General features: G+C 33.8%; 1 protein-coding gene across 10 annotated transcripts in view; it reads right to left on the bottom strand.

The window, feature by feature from the left end:
- The window catches only part of EXOC1 (exocyst complex component 1), a 51,439-nt gene that overhangs the window by 27,938 nt on the left and 9,050 nt on the right, over positions 1 to 14,451 (bottom strand). For 5 of the 10 annotated variants that reach the window (XM_005265747.4, XM_017008405.3, XM_005265748.2 and 2 more), the window contains exons 4-9: positions 12,763 to 12,922; positions 8,626 to 8,813; positions 6,244 to 6,471; positions 5,916 to 6,048; positions 5,191 to 5,300; positions 4,341 to 4,394 (exon numbers count right to left, since the gene is read on the bottom strand). In XM_005265747.4, coding sequence (XP_005265804.1) covers positions 4,341 to 4,394; positions 5,191 to 5,300; positions 5,916 to 6,048; positions 6,244 to 6,471; positions 8,626 to 8,813; positions 12,763 to 12,922 — 873 coding nt within the window. Of the gene's footprint in view, positions 1 to 4,340; positions 4,395 to 5,190; positions 5,301 to 5,915; positions 6,049 to 6,243; positions 6,472 to 8,625; positions 8,814 to 10,256; positions 12,347 to 12,762; positions 12,923 to 14,451 lie in introns of those variants that run through there. The other 5 variants (NM_001024924.2, XM_005265750.4, NM_018261.4 and 2 more) reach the window with 2 other exon arrangements.

Genomic DNA, 14,451 nt, shown 5'->3' with positions numbered 1-14,451 from the left:
AATAAGCGTCCTGAATTTAAATTCTTTTAAGTTAAAAGGGATTTCTTTCACCTAATTTATATACTGTACTATATACACAAAATAACCTAGTGGTTATGAATTTTAAAAAATTTTCTTTTAAATACAGACTATTCAGAAGGAAACATTTCTGGCCTAGAGGAAATGAGGAGTTCCTTGGTAACTGAGAAAGAAAGATGGGAGTATAAGACATGCCAAGTACAAAAACCCACATCATTATCCATGTCCCTTCTTCATAAATGTTTTCAAATCAGTCTGTTGGAAAATTTTCTTCATGTGAGAATATATCCCAATTTAAAATGGAAATTAAAAAGAAAAAAGGACCCATTATACAGAAATTACATATAAAATGGTAGAAAACAACCAATACACTTCTCAGATTCATCTTACTGATATCTACTTAGGTTAACTTGGGAAACTGAACTAGAGATGGCAGAAAAATATCACAAAATGAAACTGACCAGTTCAAAATAACAAGAACTAGAACACAGGGGCAACAGAAGTTCACAGCTACCACAGATGTTATACACAAGGTATATTAATAGGTCCATAATCCCTTTCTGTAATTCTGACAGCCAAAAAGCTCTGAAAACTCAGACTAAGCTTGGCACCAAAACAATTTTGATGGTAAAATGTGACCTGAACTGACATGGGCCTATTTATAGTGCTTAGAGTGACTATTCATATTTTTTGTTGCAAAAACATGTGCTTGGAGTGATTATATAATATACAGTATATATACTGTATTGCTTTTCTAAAATCTGAAACATTCTAAAAACACTCCTGACCCCCAGAATTCTGGATAACGGAGCGTAGACCTATGTGGATATTCTTTTCTGGGTGGCTACCTGAATATAAAACAATCACATCTTCCAAAAGAATCAATGAGGACTAAGAGCTAAAGTGTTGAAGAATGGAACAATTCTGTATTTTTAGAATGCCTGGGCTACCATATCTTTTCTGTAAGGGCTAACAATAAAGATGAACAAAATCAATAATATTAAGTAAAATACACAGGCATTACCATTGGACTATTATCTATTTCTATGTTGCCAAAGGTCAATATAAACATTCTATTACAGAAATGTTTTCTAACCAAGATGCCAGAAGGATAATCAGGATTCTACAGCATCACATGTATTAGATACTAGCCAGATATAGATATTATAGTTTTAGGTCTATAAATGTCTCCAAATTGTGTTTTATTTTTTAAAAATTTATTTTTATTAATAGAGATGGAGTCTTACTATGCTGCCCAGGTTGCCCCCAAACTCCTGGGCTCAAGTTATTGGCCCACTTCAGCCTCCCAAAGTGCTGGAATTACAGGTGTGAGCCACTGCGCCTGGCCTAAACTATGTGCCTTAATTGGTCACGCTGATTAAAGGGGAAGAATATTTGACAGACTTATATCATACAAATGTTTACCAAATAGTTTTTATTAGTAACAATGTATCGTTATCCAAAACAATCTTCCTCATTAATTTTTCTCAATGATTCAAGACTCAAAATTATTGTCTATGTTCTTCTACTACTGTTTACTCAGGCACAAATGTCAATTAACTTGTTCAAGGTAACCCAGCTAGGAGGTAGGAGAGTCAGGATTTTGAACCCAGGAAGTTTGGCTCTAGTGTCTGCACTCTTAAGCACTTTGCTATAGTGACTTTTTTAAAGAAATGATACATTGGGGTCAAAATTTGAATAAATTTTCAAGATTTGGAACTCCTTCTTTCTGTTATGGCATACTTACTTATTCTTTTCTTAAAAAAAAAATCTGAGCAAAGTTCCAACAAACCTCACAAAAATAGATCTTAATCACAAGTCTTTCTAAGCTTTTAACCAGAGATCATCAATCCGTGTTTACAAATATGCTTAAGGAAACAATTTTTGTAAAAGAAATTGAATGCTGGTGGTCTGCAATACAGGTTTTATTTTATTATAGCTTGTTTCTGTATATGTATGTTGAGAGAAAAATTTCTAAACTTAAGCATATGGTAAAAAGTTCCACAACTTCAGTTTTTTCCTGGTTGTACTTTTAGTTCAGTGCATTTCAGTTTATTTTCATTTTCTCTAAGTTATGTACATAATCAGTCTCATCATGTTGCTAAAGGCAAAAGTAGATAGAATCATGAGGTCTCTGTAGAACCAAAGGGGGAAACAAAAGGCAGAGAGTAGTTATCAAAATAAATCTTTCAAAAAACAACCAAAACAATTTTTTAAAGGACATATTCTTTATGCAAATATTTCCTCAATTTCATTAGCCTTAATTTGACTGTTTTCAATATCATAATCCTAATTAGTGTAAACTGACCAGATTCTCATTCTTGATCTTTCTAGATACAGAAATCCCTAGTAAATGTAAAAATTATGGGCAAGAGCCTATAATTTCAGGGGAAGTTGAGTGTGTAAGATCTGAAAGATCTAAAAGAAGCTAACTACTCTTTATGTAACATTACTCTCATATTATATTACAGTGATTATTATATTAAAATACACTTCAAGTTTCACTTAAGTATAGATAACACAGAAGTATTAATAGGAAAGTTGCATTACAGATAGCATGCTCTGGATCAGTCATTCCCAAATGCAAGATGTTTTTCCTGGCCTATAGCAATAAGAAAAAGTACAATGAAAGAAGTGAGTCCTTCATAAGGGTAAATGTATTAATTTTTAAAATCGGAAAGGAAATTCTTATTCTTTTAGTGCCAAAATGTCATTTTTAAAATGAAAAGATAATGAAAGTGGATAATAGTATTTCTTTTTAAAGGTCTTTATTTGGTAAAATAAAAAAATTGGTGATTTGGTCAGTCTCCGAATTTTATTTCTTTTAATTTTACTAATTTGTGAATTTTAAAAAGACTGAGAATCAATGCTTTGAAATTACTGTTATATTGTGAATAGATTATTTTCACTGGATTCTTCAGTACAATATTTGTAAATGTTGTAACTATACATTTGCTATAAACTGTATTGCATGGACTCGTTCAAGTCCTACCTTATCTGCAATTCCTTCCATATCTCACTCCTTAAATTCTCAATAAACTCACTTTTGATTAAACCTTTTTAGCACTTACAGTCCACAGTTCTACAATTAGCAATTTATTACATACATTGCTAATGTACATTAGTCTTAACTCCTTACAAAGAGTAAGTACATTAGTTTTAATTCCTTCTTACAAGCATCTTGAGGGTAGGAACTATTGCTTATTCTTATATATGGTAGACAGTGAGTACATAATAAGCATACAATGAAAATTCTGTGATTGCCAAAGAGGTGTACCATATTATTTTAATCAATTTTCCCAGCTTGTCTCCCTACCAGGAATAGAAATACCCATGTTTCTCAACAATTTTGCTAGGTGACCTGATGCACTGAATGCAACACTAAGAAAATCTTTCTTATGTGTGGGATATCTTCTTCCACCGTTTTTGGCACACCCCAGGTTGTCGCAGCGTTCTGATTTTTAACATGCATCACTCACATGTAATAACACATATCAGCTTTTCAGAAATGGGAAGCATTCATTTTAAACGAGGCCATTAGTTTACAAGGCAAGAAGCAAAATCATAAATAACTGCATGTTACAACAAACAGTTAAGGGTACAGAAAAGACTATTGTTTACTGGCTGGTATTTTCAATACTATCTAACAAATGTGGATAACATAATTGTCAACAGTGTCATTTTTAAAAACTAAGGAATTGTATAGAAATAGATGTTATTGAAGTAAGTACCTAACAAAAACATGAATTAGTATTTCCTATGTGACATTTAAGCTTACTTTTTTCTCGACACTTTTCAGTCAAGTGGAATGTTAAGGGAATCTCTCTGATTCCCCCCTACCGTGCTTTTAGTTAGGTGGTCTTCCTTTACACTCCCACAGTCTCGCTGTCATAACATTTATCCCTCTTGAGTATATTATTTGTTTGTCTCGCTTCCCTAGACTGTGAACTACTAGAGGACAGGATTGGTCTCTCATTTATCCCAAGTTAATGTCTGGTATGTACCTCAATCACCTGGCAATACTAAATAAATGAAGGATTAATATTACTACTATTACTAAATGAAGGAGTAATATTACTATTTATTACTAAATGGAGTGAAAAAATGACAGAAAGAAAAGCAAGCAGAATGAGATTAAATGCTTTTTTGGCCAAAATAGTCTCTACTATGGGACATTTAAAAACTGCTACGAATGTGGTTAACAGGTAGCTTAAATCAGTAAGTTATAATCTGTAAAGATTCGGCTGCTGTTAAGTTTAGCAAACTTTATAGAAAAAAAAAAACAGAATCAGAGAAGCTTGAGCCAAATTTGATGTACTCACAGGAACCGAAAGAAAGTAGGACCTGTTATAGAGTTGAAGGAGGGCCTGAGTAAACTAATTGGAAATAAAATATAGTAAATACAATTGTTTTAGAATATTGCAAAGTGAAAATAAAGTAAAAATCCATTGTTTTCAGGCAGTATTTCTTGATGAACGAGATATTCCCCCAATTTTTTTTCATTCTATAACTCTAATAAAATAAAAGGGACTTTTAAAAGAGATGAAAAAATAAGAAACCTAATTTATTGTATTAGATATTAAAATGGCTTTTATTCAAATCCCTCAAAGGTACTCTTAATATTATTAATAACAATATTATTACCACACTCTTAATTATAACATCCTTTTCCATATAAAAATATAGGTAAAGCATTTATATGAAGATTAGATCAACTGAAATTTGCAGTTGAGCTAGTCATTTTCTTAACAATTATACTATGTACTAAGTACATAGAACTTACAAAACATTTAAAACACTGAATCAAGTCCTGAGTCTCACCTCAAAATACTGAAAAATAAAACAGGTCCAATAGTAAATATCTAACAAGTTTGGACTTACTTTATAAATAAAAATATCTAAGTAGTATATGCAATTCATATGCATAGTTATTTGATTTCTAGAATCAGAGAGCATCAGCTGAAAGGAACTAGACTGTCTACCAAAAGAGGCAGCTGAGGCCCAAAGTACATCTATGAGCAAAGAGGCTCCTATTTCAAAATCTTAAAATCAAATATGTGAAGGAATTGACTGCAACCCCAATTAAACATATTAACATTTTTGTGGAAATGTAAGGTTAATACATAAATAAGCTATAGGAACATGCTCGTTTTAATAATAAAATAAAATTACCTGTTGAACAAAAACATTGTTGAGGTGACTGGCCAGTCTCCGGGCAAAAAGCTCTCGCAAATCACTGAATCGCTGCTGTTGCTGTTTGACTGCCAGAAGCAAGTCATGGCCTGACACAGAACGACATTTTGTGACCAGTTTAATGGGTAAAAAGATTTCCTTGATGTTTAATGGAACATTAAACGTATCTAACGTTTTGAAGAACCCAAAAGTTTTATGGGTGTATTCATTTACATGATAAAAGTTAAGCAGGAGAAAAATGGGATTTCACAGTAGTTCTCAAAGTGTGGTCTTGCCTCACCATCGCCTGGGAACTGTTAGAAATGTGGATTCTAAAATCTCAGCCCAGATCTGCTGAATCTGGGACTGGGGCCAGGCAATCTATGTTTTTAACAAGACCTCTAGGGATTCTGACGGACACTCAAGTTTTGAAATAATTGCTCTCGTCTAACCAAAGCACCTACTTTCTGCTGGGTTCTGTGGATAGTACTAAATAAAGATCATGGTGTTGACTATAGTCATTGAGGACAATTAGAAGGAGGAACTGAAGTAAAAAAGTTCCTAGTATCAATAGAAATAAGTTGGGAAATCAGTGAAACTTGAATAGCTAATAATGTAACCCTTAAACCACTTGTCTCATGTATTTCTTGTCAAAACCTTTATAACAAGTTACAGGCTTAGTCTCACATTCTTGGTCACATTTTTGTCATTTCTAATGAACATACCTGGTCGAAGAGCTACATTCATGCACTGCAGAAGGGCATCAGCAGCATTGGTGCAGGCCTCAATGCCTCTGGAAGAAGCAAGATCTCCTTCCTGAAGGGCCTTTATATGACCTTTGGCCAAGTCCATGTGGTTCTAGAATATATGCAAACACACCATTTGCATGTGTAATTTTGGGAAATTTACAGGCAAGATGCTATTCAGTCCTATCATTAGGTCTTTGGAATTATTTTAAATCCTGTTCTCACAAGGAAATTAAAAAATGTTTACAAATGGGTTTTATATATCATCACTAGTTTTTTTTTGTTGGTAATTTATGATCATACTTACCACAAGGAACTCTATCTCAGATAGGAGTTTTACATTATTAGTGTTACTAAGATGAATTAGGTGGTTGCTTTCAGAGATCTGATCCATTTGTTCTTTTACACTTTGGAGCATTTCCTCATAACTGCTCAGTTTCAATTCAATCTGATCTACCTCCTTTAGAGCCTCATCTAGCAATTTCATCAGGATGTTGACTTGTTTTTCAGATGCCATGATTGACTGGATGTTAGCCTACAAAGTTAAAGACCAAAACAAACAAACAAACAAACAAACAAACAAAAAACATACTTGTTATTTAGATGTGTAAAAGAATAAAGGTGAAATGTTGCTAAATTTCCTTGAAAGTAGCATAACAAAAATTGATATATACCTACACATCTACTTCAGTTTATCACTTTATGTTCTTCCATGTTTTACACAGTATTTCATGCAGGTACACTTGCCTCTAAATCAATGTTAGGGACCATGCCTTAGGATTTTATATTTCCACAGACTGCACAAGTAAGGTTCCAGAATGCACAAGTAAGGTGCCAGAAAGTATCACTGGTAATGGCACATTCTCATTTCTATACATTTAGGAGGCATTAGGCCATGTTATCTCTAACATTTCCTCCAATTCTACCAGCTAGAAATTTTCTTAACACCTATGTGAAACCCTAAATAAAAGCATAATCACCTATGTGATATCTTAGTTGAGAAAGCAGCAGTGGTATACCAGACTCTGAAGGATATATGAAACTAATTTATAACTGTAGTATGATGGGAACTAGTAACAGGATGTAGAAGAGCATACGGCCGATAGCTCCTTCTATCATCTTTTTTCTTTTCTCTTTCAACTGTTTTTTTTTTCTTCCCCAGGCAAAGCAGTAACAAACCACCATCCCCTTATCACTATTTTCTAAATGATTCTGACTATTGATTCTGAATTCCCTGAAATAAGGAAACTGCCAAATCCAAAATTAAACTGCAAAGCAATATGCTGACTTGGAACATATATACCATATTAATTAGAACAAAAAATATAAATCACTAAGCCATATTAAGAAGGCAAGTAACATGGTACGATGAAAAACCTGGACCAGAAATTTAAAGGATATCATTGTACAGCTGACGCTGTGGTTTCACACGTTATTTACATACTATCCACAGTAAATAAAATGTAAGTGCAATACGACTTTAAGAGTCAGAAGGGTTCAGAAGCCACTGACATCTCTTAAGTAACAGAGCTGGGGTTTGAATCTGCCCAGGATTTCTTCCTTAACATCTTAAAATCATTTCTAGGCTTTGCTTTCAGTGAACTCTGTAAACTTGTAAGCCTGGACTATTCATATAATCTCTCTGGGCCTGAGTCAGACCCCATAACTTCTGTACCTTTCATGTATACAACACTAAAATTTAAGTCTTTAAAATGTTCCTTATCCTCTGAGGGATTTCTTAAATGCTTACCTTTTCTTAAAACCAGAACAAACCCAAATGATTTTAGATTACTCTAGCATAAGAGATGCGGTGTGTTTGATTTTTTTGTTTTGTTCTGTTTTGTTTTGAGACAGAGTGTCACTCTGTCACCCAAGCTGGAGTGCAGTGGCACGATCTCAGTTCACGGCAACCTCTGTCTTCCAGGTTCAAGCGATTCTTGTGCCTCAGCCTCCCAAGTAGCTGGGACCACAGGAGCATGCCACCATGTCTGGCTAATTTTTTTTTTTTTAGTAGAGATGTGGTTTTGCCATGTTGGCCAGGCTCGTCTCGAATTCCTGACCTCAGGTGATCTGCTCGCCTCAGTCTCCGAAAGTGTTGAGATTACAGGTGTAAGCCACTGCCCCAGCAGGTGCTGTGCATTTGAATTACACTCAAAAACTGCACACAAAACAAAAAGGTCTATTCTAAAACATTTTAGCAAAGAAGTCACAGATCTTTTTCTCTGGCTCTCCTGTTTTCACCACACTCACTCCACTCTTCTTTGGTAAATGATTCACATATTTCAGCCACATTTCTCTCTTTATACTTCATCCCTATTTTTATTTTTTTCAAACCACACACATACACACAAATGCTATTCTTTGGCACTGAACTATTCAGACATGTTTCAGAGGCTGAGCGAATCAACTCCCAAGATGTTCTCTGGCCTAGTTTTTACTCCAGTCACTTCATATCAAGAACCTCCCCAAATCCAGAATCTCAGCCAACTGTCTTCATTGGCTTAACAGGAATAGTTCATCTTTTGAACAAGAACAGTAAAAGACTGATGGCAGCTGGTAATGTGCTTATAGATAAAGATGGCAATAACACACTATAAAGGCTTAAGTGCTGAGGTAGTATAATATGAACATCATTAGCCTTCTCAATCCACTATACATCACTTATTCATAGAATTCAGGAAAGTCTTACCCCATCTAGCACCTGCAGCTCTCTGGACAATTTTTCTGCAAAGGCTTCCGCATTCGAGATTGCATATTCACAGCCTTCCATCATTATTTCGATATCCTGTTCTTCTCTTGCATTTAACTCTTGGTATTCATCTACTACTTCTTCATCACCTCCTGTCACACTCTGATTTTCTCCACTTGGAACAGATTCTTAAAGAGGTAAAAATTCAAAGTAAAATAGTCAAAAAAGTAGAAAAGACTATAACATAATACATATAGGTAGGTATAGTTATAAGCACAGGTCACATTTAGCAGCTGAAAAAGAGGATAGAATGATTCAAATGATATGAAAAAATCAAACTTTATTTTTATAAATAATTTAATATGTTAATGAAATAAAGTTCTAAAAAATAAATAAAAAGCATGCAGTCTAATGCACTAACTTACAAATGTTAAAACAGGCTTTCACCACAGTTTCCCAAAATACAATTAAGCTAAAATGTAAAAACAAAATACAAAAACAGGTGGGAACAAACCTAAACATTTTTTCGTACCTGATGTGGCTGTTGCTCTAACAAAACAATGACTATGAATTCAGTACACACAAAAACAATTTGCTTTCCTTTTTTTCCCAGGTGAAATTTTTCTTTTGTTACTTTTGTTACTTTCATCTTCAGTATGTATATTTTTGCCAAATACTTTTTAATTAAAATGAAAAATGCATCTATAATCCATAATTTATTTTGGTCACTAGAATATTAACTGAATTATCCATTTCTTTGCTTAAAAAAATTTCACATGCATTGATAACATTTCTAAAGATAAGTTACAGCTTTCTCAATAACTCTAAGTAAGAGCAACAACAACATGGCTGTTTGAAATTATAAAAAGTTAAACAGGCTTCATGCTTTATAACAAAAGACCAAGAGGTCAAACCTGAAATGCTTTCTAGATGTTTCAGTTCATTTTTTTTTTTTTTTTGAGGAAATACACTAGCATGTGAGCACTGTATATAAAGCTTGAGGTTAGGAGGTAAAATGAAAGAAATCATTTTTAACTCCTAAGATGTTGTTTTATCACTCTAAATAAAGTTAGCAATTTCACAGACTTAATGGGGCATGATTTAAACCACAAACTCTGGATGCTTTTAGTATTCATTATTTTATAGGAAAATGAATATTTACATTCAGCATGACCTGAAATACGTTCATTTGTCCCAGAACAAAAAGAAGACTAAAACTTTTGGTACAGGCAATTACAGATTTTAGTATATAAGTTCTTTAGAGAGATATTACCGATCTCCTTGTCCTTTCAACGAGTCCATTTAATTCACTGCGAAAAAGTTCAACTGTCATGTGTGACAGCTTATTAGCCACTAGGGGGCAGGGACTGCCCAAATCATTCTGTACAGGTCCTTACACAAGTAGACTTAAACAAATATTTTACATGATTATAATTAACTGCTTCAGAAGTATTTTCTAATGATATGTCCTTGAAAGCCAATAATAAATACTATCATTAATTTTATTACTATGTAGATTTTTAAAATAAATTTGTCCCAGTACATCATTTCATAAAACATACAACCAACGGTATATAACAAAGGCAACTAATAAAAACATATGGAATAGAAGAAGAAAAGGTGTTACGCACCTTCTGTAACTTTAGGCAGTTCTGGAGAGTAAAAAGTATGAAAAAAGCAGAGGAAAGTAAGCAAAGAATATTAGCTGGGTAGAAAAGTAAACAGGCTTAAATTTTTAAAATACTACCCATATCTCATTTGAACTTCATGTTAAAGTTCAAAAGACAGCCAAATCAACTACCAAGTGGAAAGATCCATAAGAAGCTAAATTTGCCGTGTTCATTTTTCTTATTCACTTTCTGATAGTGACTACAAATATATTTATCTTTCTAATTTCTCTTAGTCTTTTAAGAAACAGCACTAACTAACCCTTAGAGGAGAAACCTGGCAAACTAATCATTTCCTGGGGATTATATTTAGGTCAGTTGTGACTCATGCATGTAGCCTAGTTATGTTACTTAAGGCCCAAAAGCTTTACCCAGACACTCCCTCACAGAGGATTAGTCACAAAACATGGTTAGAAAGGACAAGATTGAGGCAAGTAAAAAATTACACAAAATAACAGTTCAAGCCAGCATTTAAGGATTCAAGTCAAAGATTCTTTTTTAAAAAGCTGGTTGCAAGTAAAAGAATGAAAAAAAAGGCCAAATAAAAACTTCAATCTACTTCAACTGCTGAAAAGTCCTCTTTTACAAACCTTATTCTGCTGAGGAGCCCCATTATTTAACTTACGTATTCAATTGTCAACAATAAAAACTACCAAGTTGCCACTGCTACCATTTATAATCAAAATAGTCTTACTTAATTATTGAGCTCTTAAACTGGGGTGGTAATAATTTTTTATTTGTTTTCTAACATCACTCAAAACTTAGAGACATTTTTTTTTAATGGGAATTAAAGGCTGTAATTTCAAGGTCCATAAAACAAGTTTGTAGACATTAATGAAGCTATTCCCTGAACTCCACTAAACCAAAGCAAGAGTTACTGACGTATATAGCAAGTGATTTTCAAAATGAGATCCTTAAGGATCTTCTCAGTATTCTTAAAATCGATCTCAGTTAGGGTTAATGTTTATACACATGAACGTGTCTATACTCTTGTTTTATGGCCTGAAAAATTGAATGCCTTTTTTTTTTTAAGTTAGACACTTCATTTTCAAAAACAGTAATACTCTTCTCACTGATTTTGGTAGTATTTCTTAATGAGGCAGATCCAGGTAGGGTATGTATTTTTCTATATGACTGTCCTGAAATATACTGGTTTAAAATCACCTTACACAATAAATAACATCTGGAAATGCATAATATTTGAAGACAGAACAGCAAGCTTGTGAATCACTGAATCACTGACTCATCAGAATGTTCAACCCTGAAATGTTAAAAAAAATAAAAGCCATTCGAAGCAAATTAAACCACGATTCAAGGCATGAAAAGTTACCATAAATTTCTTGAAGGTCATTCCCTCTACACACTCAATTACCAAGATGTTGGGGACTAGTGTTGGTGAGATGGCAACCCTGGGGATTCCTACATAAGACCAGCACTACTGGTGGCTGACATATGTGACTTGTTTCTGCCAGTGCCAAGCATCAAGCCTAAAATCAGCAGCAGGCTCACTGATTACTAAGTGCTATCTTACAATGTTTGTATCTTTAGGAAAGAAATTTTAAAAGTAGAGAAAATCTCATATTTTCACTAATTAATGGTAGAGTTTTTGTCTTGTAACACAAAATGATGCATAGTAACATTCCTGAAGATATACTGATCAAAAATATTCTAATAATCTTCATGTCTAAGGATTTTATACTGGTAACATAATAATAGCTAATATTTACTGAGCACTTACTATGTACCTGGCACTGTTCTTACTATGTTCATATATTAAGTAATTTAATCCTCATAACAACCCTATGAGGTAGATACTATTATTATCTCTAGTTCTGAGATAAGGGAAACTGAAACATAGAGAGTAAGTATCAATGCAAAGTCATATAGCTAGTTAGTGGCAAAGCCAGGATTTGAACCCAAGAAGTCTGACTTCAGAGCTATGTTCTTAACCACTACATCTACCCTCTGTACAAAAATACTGCTACAAGGGTATTTATCCCAGAGCTGTTTAAAAGAAGCAAAGATTGGAAAATTAAAAAATAAATGATTAGTTAAATAAACATGGTATATCCATATAATGGAATACTATGGTGCTACTGAAAATAATGTTGGGGTAAGTATTCAACAACATGAAAAATGTTCATGATACATTATATGAAAAAGTATGTTAGAAAACATAATGTAAATTTCTTTATCTTAAAAAGGTGTTTATGCATAGGAAAAAGACTAGACGAATATCTAACAAAGTGCTAACAGTAGTTATTGCTGAAGAATAAGTGGTTTTTATTTATTTATCATAATGTATTAATATTCTACAATAAACAAGCATAATTTCTGCAATAAGAAAAATTATTTTAAAGTTCTTTTACGATAAGATAATTCAGTATTCTAATTAATTTGAATGATGTCAAATTATATATTCACTTAAAGATATAATTGATTTTACATATACATTTTTATTTAACTTTACCTTCCAAAAGCTGTGAGCTAACATTGACAAAATCAATTTTCTTCCGGAGATATCGCTGATTCAATTTCCAAATGCATGAAATAAATGCATTCTTTTCAGCAGTGCTGCTGGCAACCCATTTATATATTTTTTCAAAGTGTAAATCAAATTCAGGATTTTCCTAAAATAAAAATATACAAAAGATATTATTTTTGATCACATCCTTTTACATTGTTAATGTAAAATCTGCATAGGCATTTACGCTGTTTTTGGAAAATGAAGAGTATTAAAAATCAGCTAAGCAACTGGAAAGGAAGAGTTTGGAGAATTCAATTTATAGCAAAAAGTTTACCACCCCAAAGGAGCTGGATGAAAAAACAACATACTGTTGTGGTCATTTTCTTCCTATGCCCTTTAGGTCTATGAGTAGAAGTATAGGATGCATTAATGGCTTTGTGGCTTAGCTTCCTCATCAGTAAGATGACAATGGTCTCTAGCTTTGACATGGACCTAATTTTTCTTTTTAAATTGCCTATAGAGTTTTAGTTATACATTTTCTTTAATAATGTACTACTATTTGAAACTGTAATTGGACACTAACTCCCTAATAAGGACTATATCTTCTAAGTATAAAACTTGAGAAAAATGCAATGTATATCCTGGTGTACTTTCTAAGAACAAGTGAGGTGAAAAGCAGAGATTGCGCCTAATTATTTTCTATTTTGAAAATAAGGAATGATTAAAGATATCTTGAAAGCTAAAAGTGCTGCTAGGTCTCAAAGTTCTTTATTTTTTTGAGACAGGGTCTCACTTTGTTGCCAAGGCTACAATGCAGTGGTGCAATCATGGTTCACTGCAGCCTCCACCTCCTGGGCTCAGGCAATCCTCCCAACCTCAGCCTCCTGAGTAGCTGGGGACACGGACACATACCAGCATGCCTAATTTTTAAAATGTTCTTGTAGAGACAAGATCTCCCCATGTTATCCAGTTGATCCTCCTGCTTCGGCCTCCCAAAGTGCTGGAATTACAGGCATGAGCCCTGTTCCTGGCCTAACGTTCTTTCATGTGATAAAGAAGCTCAACCAATCTGAGAGAATTACACTATAGTTTCTTCAAGTCTCTTAAGCCACATTATAGCAATAATCCACATCAGGCTAATATTTCTCCCTTGAATGAATAGAACTACTTGACTATTATATAAAAAAACAGGCTGGGCTTGGTAGCTCACGCCTGTAATCCTAGCACTTTGGGAGGCCGAGGTGGGTAGATTGCTTGAACCCAGGAATTTGAGACTGGCCTGGGCAACATGGCAAAACACTTCTCTACAAAAAACACAAAAATTAGCCGGGTGTAGTGGCATGTACGTGTAGTCCCAGCTACTCGGGAGGCTAAGGTGGGAGGATGGCTTGAGCCCGGAAGGTGGAGGCTGCAGTGAGCCAAGATTGTGCCACCGCACTCCAGCCTGGGTGACAGAGTGAGACCCTGTCTCAAAACAAACAAGCAGACAAACAAACAAACAAACTTATGGATGTATACTTCACATCCAAGGAATTAAAAAATAGGCTCAAATATTCTTAATGTTCTACAGGGTAAAAGAATAATAATATATTTGATTCATTTAAAGTGTTATTTGGGGGAAATGTAAATACATTAAAGTAAGGGAAGTTATATCAGACTTTCACTGTGAAGAACTGGAGTATCTCAGGAATC

The sequence above is a fragment of the Homo sapiens genome, chromosome 4 (genome assembly GCF_000001405.40).
Source record: "Homo sapiens chromosome 4, GRCh38.p14 Primary Assembly".
Taxonomy (NCBI): Eukaryota; Metazoa; Chordata; class Mammalia; order Primates; family Hominidae; genus Homo; species Homo sapiens.
Note: the sequence above shows the minus strand (reverse complement) of the source record. Positions and strands in the feature narration are given on the sequence as shown.